General features: G+C 38.6%; 1 protein-coding gene and 1 long non-coding RNA gene across 13 annotated transcripts in view; one reads left to right on the top strand and one right to left on the bottom strand.

Moving 5' to 3' along the window:
* The window catches only part of GALNT7 (polypeptide N-acetylgalactosaminyltransferase 7), a 155,157-nt gene that overhangs the window by 21,959 nt on the left and 114,453 nt on the right, over positions 1-18,745 (bottom strand). For 7 of the 11 annotated variants that reach the window (XM_047415780.1, NM_017423.3, NM_001375600.1 and 4 more), the window contains 4 exons: positions 9,735-9,901; positions 6,483-6,613; positions 6,166-6,245; positions 3,712-3,894 (listed from right to left, as the gene is read on the bottom strand). In XM_047415780.1, coding sequence (XP_047271736.1) covers positions 3,712-3,894; positions 6,166-6,245; positions 6,483-6,613; positions 9,735-9,901 — 561 coding nt within the window. Of the gene's footprint in view, positions 1-3,711; positions 3,895-4,031; positions 4,215-6,165; positions 6,246-6,482; positions 6,614-9,734; positions 9,902-18,745 lie in introns of all 11 variants that reach the window. The other 4 variants (NM_001375599.1, XM_047415779.1, XM_047415782.1 and 1 more) reach the window with 2 other exon arrangements.
* LOC124900812 (uncharacterized) overlaps positions 12,527-18,745 on the top strand; it is a 32,965-nt gene continuing 26,746 nt past the window's right edge. Inside the window, exons 1-2 of one of the 2 annotated variants that reach the window (XR_007058366.1) lie at positions 12,527-18,100; positions 18,240-18,333. This is a non-coding gene — a long non-coding RNA (uncharacterized LOC124900812). Of the gene's footprint in view, positions 18,334-18,745 lie in introns of both variants that reach the window. The other variant, XR_007058367.1, reaches the window with a different exon arrangement.

The following is an 18,745-nucleotide window of genomic DNA, read 5'->3' as shown; positions in this document are numbered from 1 at the left end:
ACCCCCAATAACCCTTCACCAATAGGCAAGAAGCCTTGTAGAATACAGCCTGAAAATGCATAGAAGAGACAAAACTGATGGCCAAACATTAAGAAATTATAAAGCCTTTACAAAAAAAGAAAAAAATCTGTTCATAATTCCCTAACGAATTTACCACAATTTCTAACTGAAACTGTAGCTCATTACAAAATAGAGCATTGTTTGAGTTCACCATTAGAGGGCGCCTTGGTACCTCTGTGGATTTAAAAATTAAGCCTTAGTTTTAGTTAAAATAGAATTTTCTCTTTCACTCTTAAAAACACTGAGCCATACAGCCGTGGTCTGCTAACTGCTCCTGCATTGATTTATGAGTCATTCTTGGGTGAACAAAACCATACACCATGGAAGTAGTCTGTCATTTTTTAATTTTATAGCTCAGGGGCTCGCCAAATAACAGTGTAAATCATTGTAGAACAACCACAGTTCATTCAGAGTTTGCAAATGTAGCACAGAAATGACACAGGAGAATTAGATATAGATATTTACTGTGCCAGGAGGTAGGAATGCAAAAGGGTGACCTGTGTATCTGTGGGGCTTCTTGAATGGATCTTAAATTGGACACTTTTTAGGTCCAAGAGAAAAAAGATTTGGTAGCTTCTTAGGGACAAGTCACTCCCACCATTGGGAGAAATTACAGCAGAATTTATCTTGCTCCCTGCTCCCCTCCCCTGAACAATTAATTACTAATCCATCATGATTCTTAAATTTTAGGGTACTCAGTATTATTAGGGTAACTTCATCATCATACATAATATTCAATCTACTCAAATAGGTTCAATGGAACCTATTTCAAGGTTCCATTGATTCTACCTTGAAAAAAAAATCTTTTTTTTTTGAGACATAGTCTCACTCTATGGCCCAGCCTGGAGTACAGTGGCATGATTGCGGCTCACTGCAGTCTTGACCTTCTGGGCTCAAGCAGTCCTCCCACCTCAGCCTCCTGAGTAGCTGGGACTACAAGCGCACACCAACACATCCAGCTACCTTTTTATGTATTTTGTAGAGATGGGGTTTCGCCATGTTGCTCAGACTGGTCTAGAACTCCTGGGCTCAAAAGTTCCACCTGCCTAGGCCTCCCTAAGTGCTAGGATTATAGGCATGAGCCACTGCACCCAGCCTTGAAAATACATCTTGAATCTGCTGACTTATTTCCAACTTCACTGCCACCAGCCTAGACCAGGCCAACACTGCTTGGACTTTCCAATATCTCCCGAGCTTGTGTCCTTTATTGTCTTCTGCCCCCTGCTCAAGGCTAATCACACAGGGGCCAGAGCAGACTCCTCCACATGCGCCTGCATGATACCAGCCTCTCCCGGCTCTCTGGGCTCACCATGGACTCTCTTCCCGTTGAGTCCTTCACGGCTCTGCTCCCACCGGGAACGTGCCAGCCTCCTTTCTGTCTTAAGGCCTTCATTCATGTTATTCACGATCCTGAAATGTTCCTTCTCCTTTTCCACAGAATTGGTCCCTCATCCTTCAGGTCTCAGCCTAAATGACACTTTGTCAGAAGGGCCTTTCCTGATCTCCCAAGCTGGATTAGGTTCATCTTTCCATAAACTCATGTACTCTGTGATTTTTCTTCATACTACTTATCACAGCTGCTGTTCCAGAGTTTTGTTTGTTTTGTGAGACAGGGTCTCACTCTGTTGCCCAGGCTGCAGTACAGTGGCACAATCATTGTTCACTGAAGCCTTGAACTCCTGGGCTCAAGCAATCCCTCTGCCTCAGTCTCCTGAGTTGCTGGGACTACAGGCACGTGCCACCACACCAGGCTAATTTTAGGGTTATTTATGCAGTTATCTGTTTAATTTCTGTCTGATTCACTGTATTTTAAATTCAATGAGGAAACATATCTTTAAAAATGTATCCCCAGAAAACAGTGCTTGGCATACAGTAAGCATTCAATAAACGTTTGTTGAGTGGATAATGAATCAAGAAATATTTTCAATACTAGAAGAAAATAGCATCAGAAAAAAGTTGTTCTCTCATGCTTTTTCTTCTTAAAATATGCTGCCTAACACAGTAACAACACTATTACATTTTAGGTGATATTTTCATGTCACCTTTATTTAACTGTCATTTAAGATTATTCCGTTATAGCTGTGTCTTTTTTTTTTTGTTTTTGAGACCAAGTCTTACTCTGTTGCCCAGGCTGGAGTGCAATGGCGTGATCCTGACTCACTGTAACCTCCACCTCCCAGGTTCAAGCGATTCTCCTGCCTCAGCCTCCCAAGTAGCTGGGATTACAGGCACACACCACCACGCCCAGCTAATTTTGTATATTTAGTAGAAATGGGGTTTCACCATGTTAGCAAGGTTGATCTCGAACTCCTGACCTCTGGTGATCCGCCTGCCTCGGCCTCCCAAAGTGCTGGGATTACAGGTGTGAGCCACCTTGCCCGGCAGCTGGGTTTATTTTTCTTCAAATATGTTCCCATTCATCTCAGTATATACTTGAAAATGCATCTTAACATGGTCACCAGTGAGTTAATCAACAGATAACCTCCCTTTAATTTTTCTAGGTCACTTTAAAAATTTTCTTTACTGGCCTATGGAATTAACAGAAATATAAATTTGCTCAGCACCCTTTATTTTTTTTCTCCCACAGTTATTTGTTAAGTTAAGCACGTAAGCAGTTGATTCCTGGACTATTCTGAATAAGAAATTTACCAAAAAAAATTTGGTAAATGTCCAATTAAGCTACTATGATTAATTAAGTGCTATAACTTCTTTATGTTTGCCATTCAGTATCTTGATATCATGACATGCCCAAATCCCACAGCGTTTCCATAACATTGGAAGCACCTTCCCAAAACAGAGTTCTAACATCACCAGCAGTGTAACAGGGAGAGAGAGACCAAAAGCAGAACCATAGGATCAGAAAAATAAGATTAGACACATTCAGGAGAAGGCTATACTAACACTTGAGCAAACATTTCATTTGGGGTCACTTTTTACAGAGACAGTAAAATGTTCTAATTACAAGATCAAAAGAAGAGAGTAGCATAAGTTGTTCTACTGAAAGAACCACAAGAAGGGACAAAAGCTGATTTTTGAATAGAGTTTTCTTTTAATCAATCACTTTTCTGAGAATGAAGCAATAAAGGATTCTATGTAACATTTTTTAAAGTCATGTATTGTGATTCATCAGATTTAACTAGTACAAAATTAGTATTTGAGAGTTAACATAACAGCAAAAGGGGAGAAAAACCCAGAAATCTCTTGCTAGTGCCCTTCATTGTTAACATTATACCCACGGCATGAACGTGGAAATAAAAGTCTTGGTTGGATTAAAGTAATTTATGTATTTTAAATTTATAGAATGACACTGTCATCAAAAGAATAAAATTTGATGTCTAATCCAGTAGGACAGGATAACTAAGATTTTATCTTTTTTTCACTTGTACGTGGAACAAATGCCATGTTACATTATTTTTCTTTCCCCAATGAAAGTGTGTACGTCTCAGTAGTGGACATCACATTTAGGGTAAAAGCAATTACAATGGAGCAAATGGAGCAGATTGAAAGCTCTGAAACAGTGTAAGGAAAGATGTTCTTTCAGAATCTGAGACAACATCTACAGTTTTAATAACGAATCTTTAGCTTGGCAAGAGGTTAATAGGTTAGCAGCAACTGGAGAAAAGAAAAATATGTAAGTGATTTAGTGATTACCGATACGGTTCAGTTTTTGTCTTTCTCAGTCTCTTCTCTTGAGGGGTCAGAGGCACCCGTTTCCAGAGCATACTCCAATCCCATGCTCCTCGGGCATACCCATCTTCATCACCACCCCCTTGGGGTATAATTTCATATGTGTTGCCATTTATGACATCTATAAGCGGCACAGTGCAAATGGTTCTGTATTGTGTTGATGGCAGCAAAGATCAAATGGAAGCGTATGTATGGACCCACACATTTATACGAGTTCATGGGGAAGAAAAAAAAAAGAACTTAGATAAACATTCAACATAAGAAAATAAAGTAATAGTCTTTACCGATAAGGTTCAGTTTTATGTTTTCTTTTGGCCTTTTCCTTGTGGCTTAGAGGAATACGTTTCCATAGTAAACTCCAGTCCCAGGCCCCTCTGGCAAAACCATCTTCATCCCCACCTTGCTGTGGTTCAATGGAATAATCATTCCCATCTATGTAATCTATTAGAGGCACAGTACATGTAGTTCTGAAACATTTACAGAAAATGAAAAAGCATTTAAGAACCCAAGACTAGTTCAGCATGCCTAACTACGTTATCTCTTTTTGTTGTTGATTTGTTTGTGCACTAGGGGACTTTAATATCTAATGGGAAATAGAGTAAATGAATGTCCCATAAAAGCCGAAAAGCCTGTTTACGTAAGGGCAGGAGAGAGGAGACTTCCCCCTAGGCTTACAGACAAATGTCAGGGACAAAGAACTATATCACTGAGCTTAATAGAGTTTTCTCCTTTTCGCTTTGGTCCTAAAGGCAACTTTCTTTTGGTAATTTTACCTTATTTATAAGATTTTCTTGCCTGTTATTTTCCCTATCACCCATGAAAAAGCTCACGTGTGCGTGTGCATGCGTGTGCGTGTGTGTGGGGTCACAGATAGTACTTGCCACATTCTTAGCGGTTCTCTCAACCCTTTGTTGCTATTTCTTGGGAACAGTTATGAAAATGTGTTTCTGTACTTTTACTTGATCTTCCTCACTCCTCTAACTGCAGAAAACAGCTTTTATTGCAAAACAAACAAAAAAAAAAGGTATTGTTGCTTTAAAAAAAAAAAGCAAAAAAAATCCCTCAAAACTTGCTGAAGAACTTCAGAAGTGGTCTGAGAATTTGGATCAAAAAATCTCTTATATTTGGGCTTCACGAAAATGCTAGTACTCTATAACCAATTAGATGTCAAAGTGACATTACAAAGATTATCTGGTACCCTGCTTGTTACAATGTTCATCTCGTCAGAAAGGATTTTAAAATCTATTTTCCTAAAATGAAAATGACAGCTTTTTATATCCAGGTCAAGCTGCTTTTCAGAAGTTTAAAAACCAAGGAAAAGGGAAAACCTACAGTGCTTAGAACTTTAATATGGAGGAAGTAAAGTCCAGAAAGATGCTTCCTTCTCTCCAGAGTGTGAACTGGAGGGTCATTGTCAGATTTGTGGAATCTGCCACTGGAATCTGGAAAACCACTTCCTCACTGCCCAGAAGCCTGCTGGTATTCACCTAGAGAAAGTTACCTGACACTTGGTCAGTTAACTGTCCTCACTTATGATTTTCACATTCCTAAATACATGGTGCAGTGTAAACTTTCCCAGGGAGGCCTTGGTCTGACAGTTTATTAGCTCTCTGATTTGGGGAAAATTACTTAATTTCTCTAAGCCTCAGTATCCTCTTCAGTCAAATGGGGCTAATAATCTCTATCTTGCAGGGTTGCTGTGAGGATTAAATCAGACAGCATGTGAAAAATGTTCATGTTCGGCCTTCACATTAAATCCTCTCATGATTAAATCCTCCAAAGTTCTGCCTTTGATTCATGCCATTTGCCATTTGCCACATGGACGTGTTTTATTTTCCTAATTATGGACTAGAAGCAAGGAAGGCTTTTGGAGATAGAAAACTGATGGTGCCTTATGTTGTTTTAGACATTTCTGGAAATTTAATGGTGATTGTCACAATTCCATGGAATAGTTGTCTATTTCTAAACTTTAAAGTTTCTATAGGAACCCAAAACCTTGACACAAGTAACACCTGGTCTTTACTATTGAAAGTACTAATTTAAAAGGCACAAAAATCAACAGGTATAATATCAAAGCATGGTTCCTCAAGTGTTTAGAACTCTCACCCCAGTTTAGAGGGAGCAATTCATATAACTCTTAGAGAAAGTGCCTGGAGATAGAGGGGTCTTAATAACCCAACCACAAAATGATTCTTGAGTGAGGAACCCTAGGTTTCTCCCAAATGCCAGACTGCCTACATTTAAATCAGTCCACAGTATCAGTCTAGCTCCACCCAAGGAAACAAATAGATGAGGGATAACACTAAAGCACACTCGATGCACTGAATGGAGCTGGAATCAAAGGATGAAAATATTATTTGCCCTTCTAGGACAAGGTTTACTTTCAACCAGGAAAGAAAAAAAGCAAGGTAATGTTACCTGTCCTTAGATATGGGAGCTACAAGTGGTGCATACCAGTTAACTGCCACCTCACAGTGGGCATCAAGGTATATCAAAACCTTAAAAAAAAGAGGCAGGTGAAAGAATACTCCTCATATACGTTACATCATATATTACACACAATTTAAAATTAGATGCTAATAAAAATTAGCATTATAGTCAATTCTGACACATAAGTTATCTGTTTAAGCCAGCATTCTCATTTCAATTAAAAAAACTGAAGAATGATTAAAAATGTGTATGATTTAGTTACCAAACCCAAAATGTTGACATTGTAGATATCAAATGCTTCCTACCTGTCCAAGTTTAGCCTTCTGAGCACCAATACTTCGTGCTTGAATTAAACCTTCCCTTCTTTCATTTCGAAATACCTTCACTAGGCCATTCCACAGCTTAATATATTCATCCAGTTTTTCTTTTAAGTGTTCTGTTAAGAAAAATCAATCGATATTATAAATTAGACGAATAGAAACCAATTAGTTATTATTTTTCTCAGGAAACAAGAATACAGGTGCATTGGGTAGACAGTAATTTTACATGGACCAGATTGCACGTTTTATCAAGAAGGAAGGCGAAGTATATTATTTAAGTTAATTTTGAGTTTACTATGCCTACAGAGAACTGGTTAGTCTGAGAATTATCAAACACCCTTCTAAACAATGATTATTCGAATTGACAGTTAAGGTTTTAAGACATATTAAAATTTTTGTTCCTGTTCACATGTTAATGTCAAATCTGAACGCTTTCAGGAACAACATTTTGTTTGCTGTTGACAGAAGCAATGGTTAGGGTTTCTGAAGATGCACTGCCTACTAACAATACTATACAATTGCACTGGAATCCACACAGGGTATAGGTTATTTAACATTTTTTTCTGGGACATCTTTCCCCAACCACAATCAGTGTTGAAAGCTGTAACCTTGGTATGATGAATATGGTTCCCACCAAGTTGGCAAATAAGAAAAAAATCTCATTTTCTCTTTATCTTAAGCATCAAGTGTATAATTATACATTATAAATATAATTCTAATTATACATACATATATGTATATATGTGTTTGTAATTTAGTAGAGGAAGTTTTGTGTTATAAAAACCAGACACATTTGGCAAAATTTCCATCTTTGGCTTCCCATTACAAGAGAACAGCTTTTGTTTGTATCACTATGAGCCCATGAAATTAGCTCACCACGGTCAGAATGAGCTGCAGATCATTTAAAAGATGCTTCTTGAGGACACAAGCATTGTCCTCAATTGTTTTAAAATTGTTTAAAAATTTGGCCCATGAATATGCAATCACAGGAAAATTGCTGTATTTAGAGATGAGTTAGTGGCTAAATGGGCAAATCAGACTGTATACTTAATATTTTACTCATTTTAGGGCATTTATTATTAGTAAGATACACGTGGGTATCTGGAATTGAGAAAAAAAACTTTCTATTTTGGTACCCAGTTTTAATAAGTATTATAAATAAAATTCTCGTGCTTAATCATGTTTTTTCCCCTCAGAAAACCTGAGTAATTTTCCCTTCAACTTAAAAAAAAAAAAAGCCTTTATCCTCTTTTTTAAAGTCCAGTGCAGTCCTAAATTATTTTTTTAAAGCCTTTTTGAATTCCATTAGGAGGATTTTTTGCATATACAAGTTAAACACATCTTAAGTTTTTATGGACAGAAATGAATTGATGGCCTATGTTTCAAGTTTTGATTCTTGGTTACCATGGACCAAAGGGGGAAATGGTGCATCCAATACCTTCTGGCTTCCTTGTATTTCACACTGTGGTACACTGTGTTAAGGGCTCAAAATATTCACTGCCCTTCCTCGGATGAAAATTATCCTCCCTAACCCACTGACTGCAGGCTAGGACATGTGTGACTTGCCTTGGTCAACAAGATGTGGGTGGAAATGACATCAGTCACACGCATAGAAGCATTAAGAGGCTGGTTGTGTGTGTCTTCTTTCCCACTGCCCCTCTGCAGGCAGTGTCTGAGCTGAGGCTGCTCTGCACGCCTGGGTCCTGTGGTGAGGATGGGGTGCAGAGCTAGGCTGACCCACAAGGACCGTGTAGTTTGAGCAAAAGCTAACCCTTTGTTGTGCGAGCCACTGAGAGTGTGGGTTTGCTTTTACTTCGGCCCAACTCAGTCGCAGTTAGCTGATGCACACGTATGTGAGGAATTTGTTCCAGTTAAAAGCTCCAAACCTTTATAGAGGATACTGTGATGCCCAGAAACCCAAGTGCTATTACGAGTTAGCTCCTTTTATATGCATTTAGTCTTTAAAAGAAAAATCTTTAAAGTTTTACTTTCTGAATATATTAGGGAAAGTACACACCAAATTATCACTCAAGTCTGATTAACCAAACAGTATATAATTTTACTAAGGATAGGACTGAGATTTTCAGGTTGTTTTGAAATTGAAAAAACTAATTAAAGCTGTACTTTCATTCAAGGGTAGCCCAAACTTCTCTGCCTACTCTAAACTCAAGGGACCTGCATGATTGTCTTCATTAGAGATTTGTAAAAGAAGTAAAGATAAAAAAAAAAGACAACAGTAAAAAAATACAGAATACTCTGAGGTCCAAAATTGTGTTCTTTTCTTTGGCAAAGCAGTTATTTTAGGATGCTAAATACCTTTTGGTGTATCTTCACTTTTTTTAGGATATGATAAACTTTTACTGGTATTAATAATATAGAGGTTCTTAAAATTAGTAAAATTGGGCGATTTTGAAAAGTTATTTTATACATTTAGATTTTTGTTCATCTCAATTATTATTGTACCAACAGTATCATTTGTCTTGAGATAGAAATAGTATTTTAATGAAAACATTATTGTTATAGAAATTCACAACAAAGATGGACATAAACAAAATGGACATACATAAAATGTTGTGCCTAAAAGCTTTTAGATTTGACATTAACATGAGAACTGAAGAAAAGTTTTAAAGTATCTTAAAGCCTCTACTCTAAAGGCATTTGATATGGCTAAAAATTTTAAAGCTATACATTCTCTAGGATACTTAAAAATGATTAGTTAATAAAAGGATCAGCTGCACAGAGATGAAAGGAAAAATAGGCCATATTTCTATTTATTCGTGCTAACATATGTGTACAGTTTCAAGATTCTAATCATGTCCTTGCAAAACCAGCAAAGGTTTATCCAGACTGCAAGAATTCTCAATTAAATTTTGGAGGAAGCTTTTTTATAAAGCCATTTTGAACGATATTTTCATGCTACCTATGTTTATCTTCGCTTCTAACATTATAATCAGTGGTATACTTTACTGAATTTTTGTGTACAACCAAATTTTTGTGTACTACTTGTACATCTCTGAGCGTGTAAAATGGACATAATGATATCCACTGAAAGGATTACTGTTAGTATTAAACAAAATAACTCACATACAATGCTTGGCACAGTGTCAACTTGTTGATAACAGATGCTATCAATAGATGCTATTAATTTTTTAAAGCTAATTATTTTGAAATCACCTTTTTGCAATTATTCATGCTTAACTTATTTTATAGACAAAATGTGAGTTTCACAGCCATTACCTTTATTACTGAAATCGTCAATTAACACAATTTCTGCTAAATATTTCCTTGGAGTCCTTTTAATTACACTGTGGACTGTTCTCATGAGGGTTGACCATCCTTCATTATGGAAGACAATGACAACGCTCGAAGTGAGCAAGTTTTCATCATAATGCCAATACTTGCATCTGTAAAGAGAAAATTTCATCATATTTATTTACAGGTAATCTATACTGCTTGGCTCCAAGCTGACTATATTTGCTGATTGGATTACATACTATCGACTTAACTACGGTAAGTGAATGAAATATAGCCTTCAAAATTTAACAGAAATGCAAGATAAAAGAGAGAAGCTGTTATGAGATAAAGTTACTCCTAGGTAAAGCTACTGCATAACCAATACTTATTCTGTAATAAAAAGACTTAATTTGTGAATTTATGCTGAGGACACTTAAGATAGTATTTACAGCTATCAGGTGGTTGGCTTTTTTTTTTTTTTTTCATGACCTGGACCTTAGTTATTTTCCTTTTTGAAATGAGCTTTTGGCACAAGAGATTTATTTCACTTGCTAAATAAACCATTATATTACTGCGTTTGAAAGCTAAACACACTATATTGCTATGTTTTACTAAAATATTCAGAAAGATATTAAACAGGTTGACCTGAGGCATATAGCAAGCATTCAGAAATTTACTGTGGAATGAACAAAGTGATAATATTGTTTAGAGCTTTTAAATTAGCTAAAGAGCTTAGTTGTTCTACACAACTATTTGAAACAACTGTAGCAGGAGTACAGTTTCCAGAAGCCTCTTCCTAAATAGAAGAAACCCCAAACAGGGACTGGTAAAGACTCATTTTGATTCTGAAAGAGTACTTTGCAGTGTAACCCAAAGTTGGGAGGGACCAAACACTCTTTCAGGATAAGTTCAAAAACACAGTAGTAGGGAAAAGCAGATCTTGTAGGAAGATGTAATGTTTCTGGAGAGAAACTGAAGCAGGCAGAGCAAGGTATGCCTAATTTTAGATGGGTGAGGATAATAATCCCCCCAAACAAACTATAACCCAGATGGGGACTCAGGCAACATTTTTCTTCTTCTGACCCTAACTACTGGGCTTAAAACAGCAGAACTGGGTGAGAAAGACAGCAATTTTGATTTACAACGGACACCAGAATTGGTGAAAATACGTAAAACATGAAAGGAAATTTGGGACTTGCTTCTAAGGCAGAAGATAGCAACTTGGGGAAAAGGGCAAGATAGAAACTTTGAATGGGAGACAGGACGGAATTAGAAACATCAAGGGGCTGAAGGAGGGAGGAAAAGGGTGGGGTGAAGGTGACAGAAGGTGGTGAGGGGCACCTTTGCTGTCCTAGGGACCTCCATTTGGGGAACATCTGCAGGCCTTGCGTTCTTACAGAGGACAGGGGACAACAGAGCTGGAATAGAGCATAATTTTGTGTTGTGTGTTGTATAATGTTTCCATCTCCTTTCACCAATGTATAGTTTAGAAATAATAATTCAAAAAATGTAAACCAGGTTGTGTGCCAGAATAACTCTATTGGTATGTGTTTTTCTTACTTATATTCTTTGTCTTAAGAATTACAAAGTAATGCATAGTTTGTTGTACAAAATTCAAACAACATAGAAGTTTACGACATAAAGGTGAAAGTTCCCTCCCTGCCTCTCTTCAGCAGGTTTTGTCACATTCAATCCTCTTGTTCCCTCCAGATTTTCCACCTCTCCCTAAAAGAGCTTCTACTTCCCTTTTCTGAGGAGGAGAGATATCCCCTAATAGATGTCAAATCTCATCTCCTAGAGGAAATCATTGTTAATAGTTGGCTGTATATAGTTTTTAATATTTTGTCTACTCATGTAGACATGTCTGGTATGTATATAGAATACATGTTCAGATGAGTACGTATAGACTTTTCTCCCATGTGAGCATGTATAAGACTTACATAATTCTTTTAATAAGAATGAAAACATTATAATAATGTTTCAATACATTATTGAATATTCCATAGTATGGCTGTTCCATAGTATGGCTGTTCCATAGTCTACTGAATTACTTCCTTATTGATGGGCATTTCTGTTGATTTCATAATAATGTTTCAATAATCATCCTTTTGTATATACCTCTATGCCCTTGCATAGAAATCTTCCCTACAAAATTTTCAAGACTGTAAGCTCATTAAAGACAGGAGCCTCAGCTATTTTGCTCACTACCATATTCCCAGCATATAACACATAACAGCGGCTCCATAGTTCTTTCCTGAATTGCTTTGGGGATAATATTTTTGAAATGCCTCTTATATTTTGTTCTCAGTAATGTCTATTCTTCACCCCACAATCTTTCTACTTTGAGATACCCTCTAGAACTGAGGCAGAAGGAAAGGAAAAATCAGTTGGGGCAAACTCAGACTGCAGAAATGGTCTGCCTGAAAAGTCACAGCAACAGGTAAAATTAAAACAACCTGGGGAAAAAAAAAACTCAGGCTACACCTACACACAGATAAGCAGACATGGTCCAGTACAGAAGCCCTTTGTTCTTTCCATAATTAGTGAGCTCTCAGGAAAAAGTTTCCTCCCCTTTTCAGGCATATACATGGTGGGCTCCATGGAAACTGGCACAGAGAGGATGGGGGCTTACCTAAAACAAACCCACAGTTAAACAAGAGAAGCAGCACTTTGTGCGTGCCTAGAGGCATACCCACAGCTGCATAAGATAAGGGGAATTGCACAGACAGCTTTACTGATAAGAGAAGTTGCTCAAACTGCTACAGAGATGAGAAGAGTTTCTTACAAAAGCTTTTGGATTTAGCTGTAACTCGGCAATCCACTCGGACTCCCCTCTCTGCTGTGGAGCATTTCTTCTCTCTCTTATTAAACTTTTGCTCCACCCCCACCCTTGTGTCCATGCTCAATTTTCTTGGACGCAGGACAAAGAAGCCAGGTACTAGTTCAGAGAACAAGAAACTGCTACATTATGGTGCATTGGCAAAACTACAACATATTTAGGTGCAGGAAGAAGGGATCATCAGAAGGGTGAGTAAGAGCGGACCTCTACCCTTTTACTTTCATTTCTGAGGTTTCTTGTCTATTCCAATCCAGTTTCCTTTCACAAAGGGCCCAGACATTGCATGGGATTGGAAGGAGGTCCTAGGGCAACTGAAGGTTTCTGGCTGGGGCTACCCCTCAGTATTATCTCCAGTCCCCGACAGCCGTCAGGGTGCTGGCACAAGGACCTCCAGTCTTTTCCTACTGCATTTTCCTTCTTTCTTTTCAGGGCTATCATGCCTCTTATCCCTTCTTTCTATGCAATGTTACAGGTGTTTTTGCATCCTAGAGACAGAGTCTTGCTGGGTAGAGTCAGTCCTGATTACTAAGACACCAACTGACAAACACAACAACTCTTTGAGTTACATTCCTGATTACTAAGACAAAGAGTTGTTGTGTTTGTGATTTCCTGGAGACAGGGTAAATTCAAGATCAGTTTAAATTTTCACCTAGTAAGGGCTTTTTGTCCTCAATGATAGACACTGATGGCACTATATAAGGGGATATTTCACCCCAAGTGAATATCCTCTTCCCTCTCCATTTGGATTGTTTCCTTCTCCTTTTGGGTTATTTCTTCCCTCCACGTGAAAGCTCAGCACTGCCCAATGAATTTAAACAGTTTCTTTATGAGACAAGTTAATTTTATTCCGCTGGGGACAGCCTATTAAACCCCAAACCTCTCTAACTTCTGCCTGGATAGATGGAGTCAGAGTTTTTACCTAACATCTCAGATCCTACAGCGCCACCTAGTGGGATGGGATTTTTTTCTCCATGGGGAGTCTTGCTGGCTGTTTGTCGAAAACCTCTAGTTCCTCAATTCCCCTCCCTCCTATGTCCCTCTATTAGGGACCAGGCTCCATGACCCATCTGTAAATATCAAAGCTCCATCTTTAACAGTCAAGAGGACAGCCATTCAATTCATATGTTCTTTTCTTTTTTTTTTTTTTTTTTTTTTTGAGATGGAGTCTCGCTCTGTCGCCCAGGCTGGAGTGCAGTGGCGCGATCTCGGCTCACTGCAAGCTCCGCCTCCCGGGTTCACGCCATTCTCCTGCCTCAGCCTCCCGAGTAGCTGGGACTACAGGCGCCCGCTACCAGGCCTGGCTAATTTTTTGTATTTTTAGTAGAGACGGGGTTTCACCGTGTTAGCCAGGATGGTCTCGATCTCCTGACCTCGTGATCCGCCCGCCTCGGCCTCCCAAAGTGCTGGGATTACAGGCGTGAGCCACCGCGCCCGGCCTCATATGTTCTTTTCTGAGGCACCTGTTCTACATCCAACTACATTGGCATTTAAACAAAAAGGGGATTTTATATTTGGAAGTCAATTGGTCCCATTCTCTGGGATTTCAATGTTTCACTAGGGCCATAGCAAGGGAAGCCAGAGATAATATTAAAAGACTTCCTCCATTCCATTAAGGTGTCTTGCCCAAATACAATCTCTCCTGGACCCTTAGGGTACCCTGGGAACCTTATGGGCAAAGTAGGTCTAGGAAACCAGCAAGGGTGAAGGGCCAAGGCCATAAGCAGATGAGCATGACTAGTTATGCTGACTAGCTTCTCCAGGACCATAAATGAAGGTCATACTTGCAAACATGGGGCGGCACCTATGAAGGATGGTCACTGGGACCCAAAGGACGGGAGGAAGGGGGTGAAGGGGGATGCCCCTCCAGCCTTTCCCTCCATCTTGGGTCACTCTGAAGAGAAGGAGACTGAGGGATGCCTCTTCTCTTGCCTCTTTTCTACATGGATAACACCCCATCTTCAAGTCTGCACTACCCCTGAGTGCAGCCTGGATCTCCTTTAGTCCTCAGACCCTAAAGTTCACTCGGGGCAAGCCCCAACTTCACTGCCGTATAGAGGCCTTCCAAGATTTAACCCAAGTATTTAAACTCTCCTGGATGTTCCAGGGATGGAGAAGCAAGTGGGGAAAATACCAGTGCCCTTGGAGGACCATAAATGGGACCATGATGATAGCATCAGAAAATGGGGAAGGAAACTCTTTCAAATGTGTATATTGGAGAACTTGCAGGGGATTAGAGCCAAACCTATTAACTCTTCCAAGCTTTCCATGATAGTCCAAAAGCTAAATAAAAATCTTTAAACCTTTTTATTCAATAAAGAACAGGTTTATTACTCAGACAGCCCTTAATATGGGAAGAAAGTTGCTGAAACAGGCCCTGTCCAAAGATCTAATTTTTCTCACCCTCGAGTTGAAACTTTGCAGTACATAAATAACACTCTCCTCTGTCCCCCAACCAAGGAAGTCTCAGGGAGGCACTGAGGCTCTCTTCAGTTTCTTAGCTGAAAGGGGATATAGGGTCTGAAAATCTAAAGCTTGGCTCTGTCAGACTTCAGTAAAGTACCTAGGTCTAGTCTTATCAGAAGGGACTAGAGCATCAGGTGAAGAAAGGATGCCCATTTCCTTTAACAGTTGAGGGGATTCTTAGGCATTAGTGGATTTTGCAGACTGTGTGTACCTGGATACCGTGAAATAGCTTGCCCTTTATACCACCTCATAACGAAACTCAAGCAGTTAAAACTCACTCACTAACTTGGGAACCTGCCTTTAACCAACTAAAGCAAGCCTTACTTAAAGCATCAACCCCCAGTCTTCCCAAAGGAAAAGCATTCAGTCTCTATGCTTCAGAAAAGAAGGAAATGGCCCTGGGAATTCTGGCTGAAGCTTGAGGTCCAGCTCAACAGCCAGTGGGTTACCTAAGTGAGGAACTTAACTTGGTGGCTAAAGGCTGGTTAGCCTGCCTCTAAGCAGTTACAATGGCAGCTTTGTTGGTGCCAGAGGCCACTGGGTTACCCATGGGAAACAACTGTTTACAACCCATACAATATAGCAGGAGTGCTGCCCTCTAAGGAAAGTCCCTGGCTAACAGACAATCGCCTCCTTAACTATCAAGCTTTGCTACTGGAGGGATCTGTGGTCCAGAGGAAAACCTGCCCTTGCTAGAGCCGAGCCATTTTCTCCCAAAGGAAACTGGAGAACTTGAACATGATTGTGAAAAGGTAGTGGTGCAAACCAGTAAAAGGAATGATGAAGATCACTGTTTACATTCTCTGTAAAATTTTAATTAATGAGAAAGGATTTTCTTAAAGAATGCTCAGCTTACCTCAAAGTGGATATCCGAGCTATGGGTATATGTAAAAGGCCTTTATGTTTTTCTCTTCATAGATCTTGTTTTTCTGGAAAAGGTTTTTTGTTGTTGTTGTTTTTTTTCAGTCAACTGAATTACTTTTTTCCACTGTGTCTTATCATTCTTGATGCATACGTGAAAGACCCTAGAATGACTTCTGGTGGCCTGGGACTCCCTGGGAAATAGATTAAGGTGCCACAAATCCCATTTTGGAGAAATCCCTGTTTTCCTCATGGAACCCCTGGAATTAGAGGTGGATAAGCCCCTCTCAACATCTGTCTTTGTCTTCTGGCTGTGCTTGTTTATTAAGCCCTGAAAACTATATTCATACCCCTGTTCGTAAAAGGGCTCCACCCTGAGCTGCTGGATCTTCTTCTGTCTGTCTGTGTAGTCATACATGTGATATATATGTGAAGTCTATAAAAAGGCCAATTAATTGGCCTAAGAATAATAAGCACTGAAATAAAATATTTTGCAGTAAAAGTAAAAGCTGTGGTACCTTTCAGTTCATATGACTTTAATATTTAAAATAAAAACAGACAAGAATTATTGGTAAAATACAAACGTCTTCAAGGTGTAAAAATGTGGTCTAATTTATTATGCAGGTCAGATACTAGCTTTGCTAAATGTTTTAAGGTTGCAAACTGCTTCTTTGGCCTTTTAAAAACTGTCAACTTGCCTGCTTCACAATTAGTATGGTCTGGGAACAAATAGAAGTGACCATGCTCCTAACTACGCTGAAAGGAATCAGACTTTATCTGCATCTAGCACATAATTAAAACAACTTACCAGGCTTTACATTAAAGTTAAAAATCGCTAAGAGTTACCATTATGACATGTAATTGAGACTACTGAACATGGATTTGCATGCAAGGTGTGTAAAAACAGCAAAATGTGTTTTTAGTTAAAAGATTATAAGAAGGCATGGAAATGTCCATTTTGCCTAGAGATAAAGGATTGTCTTAAATTAGATAAAATAAAGCAGAAGGTTTAAGCAAATTGTGAAAAGACTGTAAATATTAATCTTGCAAAGGAAACTATGTGTGTGAACATATTGACTAAATTCAAAAGGGTATTATATATTTTTTTCTGTAAATTAAACTTTGAAATAAAAGCACAACAAGGTTTTCTTACGATGCTGACCTACTCTTCAGCAAAACTTGTAAAGGGTTATAAAATAACCATACAAAAAAATGTATGTAAAAATCTCACCTCATGGTCAAACTGGTTAAGATTGAATAGGATTGTCTATAAGGCTTCATTAAAAACTGGGGTTAACATTAATAGTAGACTAATGCAAGGGTAAATTTGGCTCTCTATTCATGTAGTAATAAGGGCTAATGAAAAGGTTTTTTTTGTTGTTGTTTTTTTTTTCAAATTTTTGAGTCATTGTTTTGGCAAAACAAATGACTTATGGTAAAATTTTATTTCATAATATCCAGTGTTTTAAGCCTCTAACATATTTCACAGGCTTCCCAAAATTAAACTTCAGTCTCAAGGTTGTCTTTCCTGGCCCCTTGCTTTTGGGTGCTACAAAGGGTCCCTGGAGCATGCTGAAGAGAGGTAAACAGGATTATTTAACATGTTTAGGTACATGGGATTGCCAAAATGAGGTCTAATATTCTTCAGGTTATGTTTTAGGGAAAAATATTAACATATGTCCAAAATTGTATGGGATGTCTAAGGTTCTAATGTCTGAATATTTGCTATCAATCACAATTAAGGTTGTTATGTTGGGTTATTGTATGCCACAGAAATAACCAAATTTGTCAATCATGTTCTTGACTGTAACCACCCTGGACATTTTGTCATTTACAGACAATTGTTGTCTTATTTTAATCTTCTTCAAAAAATGGTTTATAATCACTGTGGAACTTTAATAGGTACTCTTGAATGCAGGTTTCTGATAATAGAAAAATGTAAAGGACTCATGAAAAGCTGAAATGTTTACAAATATTAAGCAGAACAAGAGTTAATGGAATGGACTAACCTAATAGAAAACTAAACGAATCTTTTTGATTTTTGCTTTGAACACTGCTAATTCTTGTTTTGTTTTTCAGAGTCAAGGAAACTTTCTTTCAAATTAGCTAGAGCTTTTAACAACTAAGTAAGGTATACTCCTGTGAACAAAATTTGGAACATGTTTGTTTCTCTCTGCCTGGTTTCTCTAGAATTCAGAAACTGGTTGTAAGTATTCTTGACTTATAACAATATAGTTGTTTGCATCAGCGCAATAAGAATCTACTTTATTTTGCAACAAAACACAATTGGAAAAACTCGTTGTTTTACCAAGGCTTTGACTGAAAGGGTGTGTTTCCCTTTAAAGAGTCAAGTTCGACTTGCAGAGCCAGTAAAAGCCTCCTGGAAAACCGGCCTCATACCTTGTCTACACAGCCCCTGTACAGGGTTCCTAACCTGTGGTGAGTAAAGAATGTCACTTTCTTTTTTTTTTTTTTTTTTCAGACAGAGTTTCGCTCTGTCGCCCAGGCCGAGTGCAGTGGCATGATCTTGGCTCACAACCTCCACCTCCCAGGCTCAAGGGATTCTCCTGCTTCAGCCTCCCAAGTAGCCGGGATTATGGGTGCCTGCCACCACGCCCAGCTAATTCTTGTATTTTCCATAGAGATGGGGTTTTGCCATGTTGGTCTGGCTGGTCTTGAACTCCTGACCTCAGGTGATCTGCCTGTCTTGGGCTCCCAAAGTGCTGGGATTAGAGGCATGACCACGTCTAGATCGGCTTTAGAAAGTCCTATCTAAGATTCCTTGTGGAACAAAGTTCCATCAAAGCCAATCTAAAAGGCCTATGTAAAAATAAGGATTCTTGCTGCACTT

The sequence above is a fragment of the Homo sapiens genome, chromosome 4 (assembly GCF_000001405.40).
Source record: "Homo sapiens chromosome 4, GRCh38.p14 Primary Assembly".
NCBI classification, from domain to species: Eukaryota; Metazoa; Chordata; class Mammalia; order Primates; family Hominidae; genus Homo; species Homo sapiens.
The sequence above is the reverse complement of the archived record's forward strand: the minus strand, read 5'-3'. Positions and strand labels throughout refer to the sequence as shown.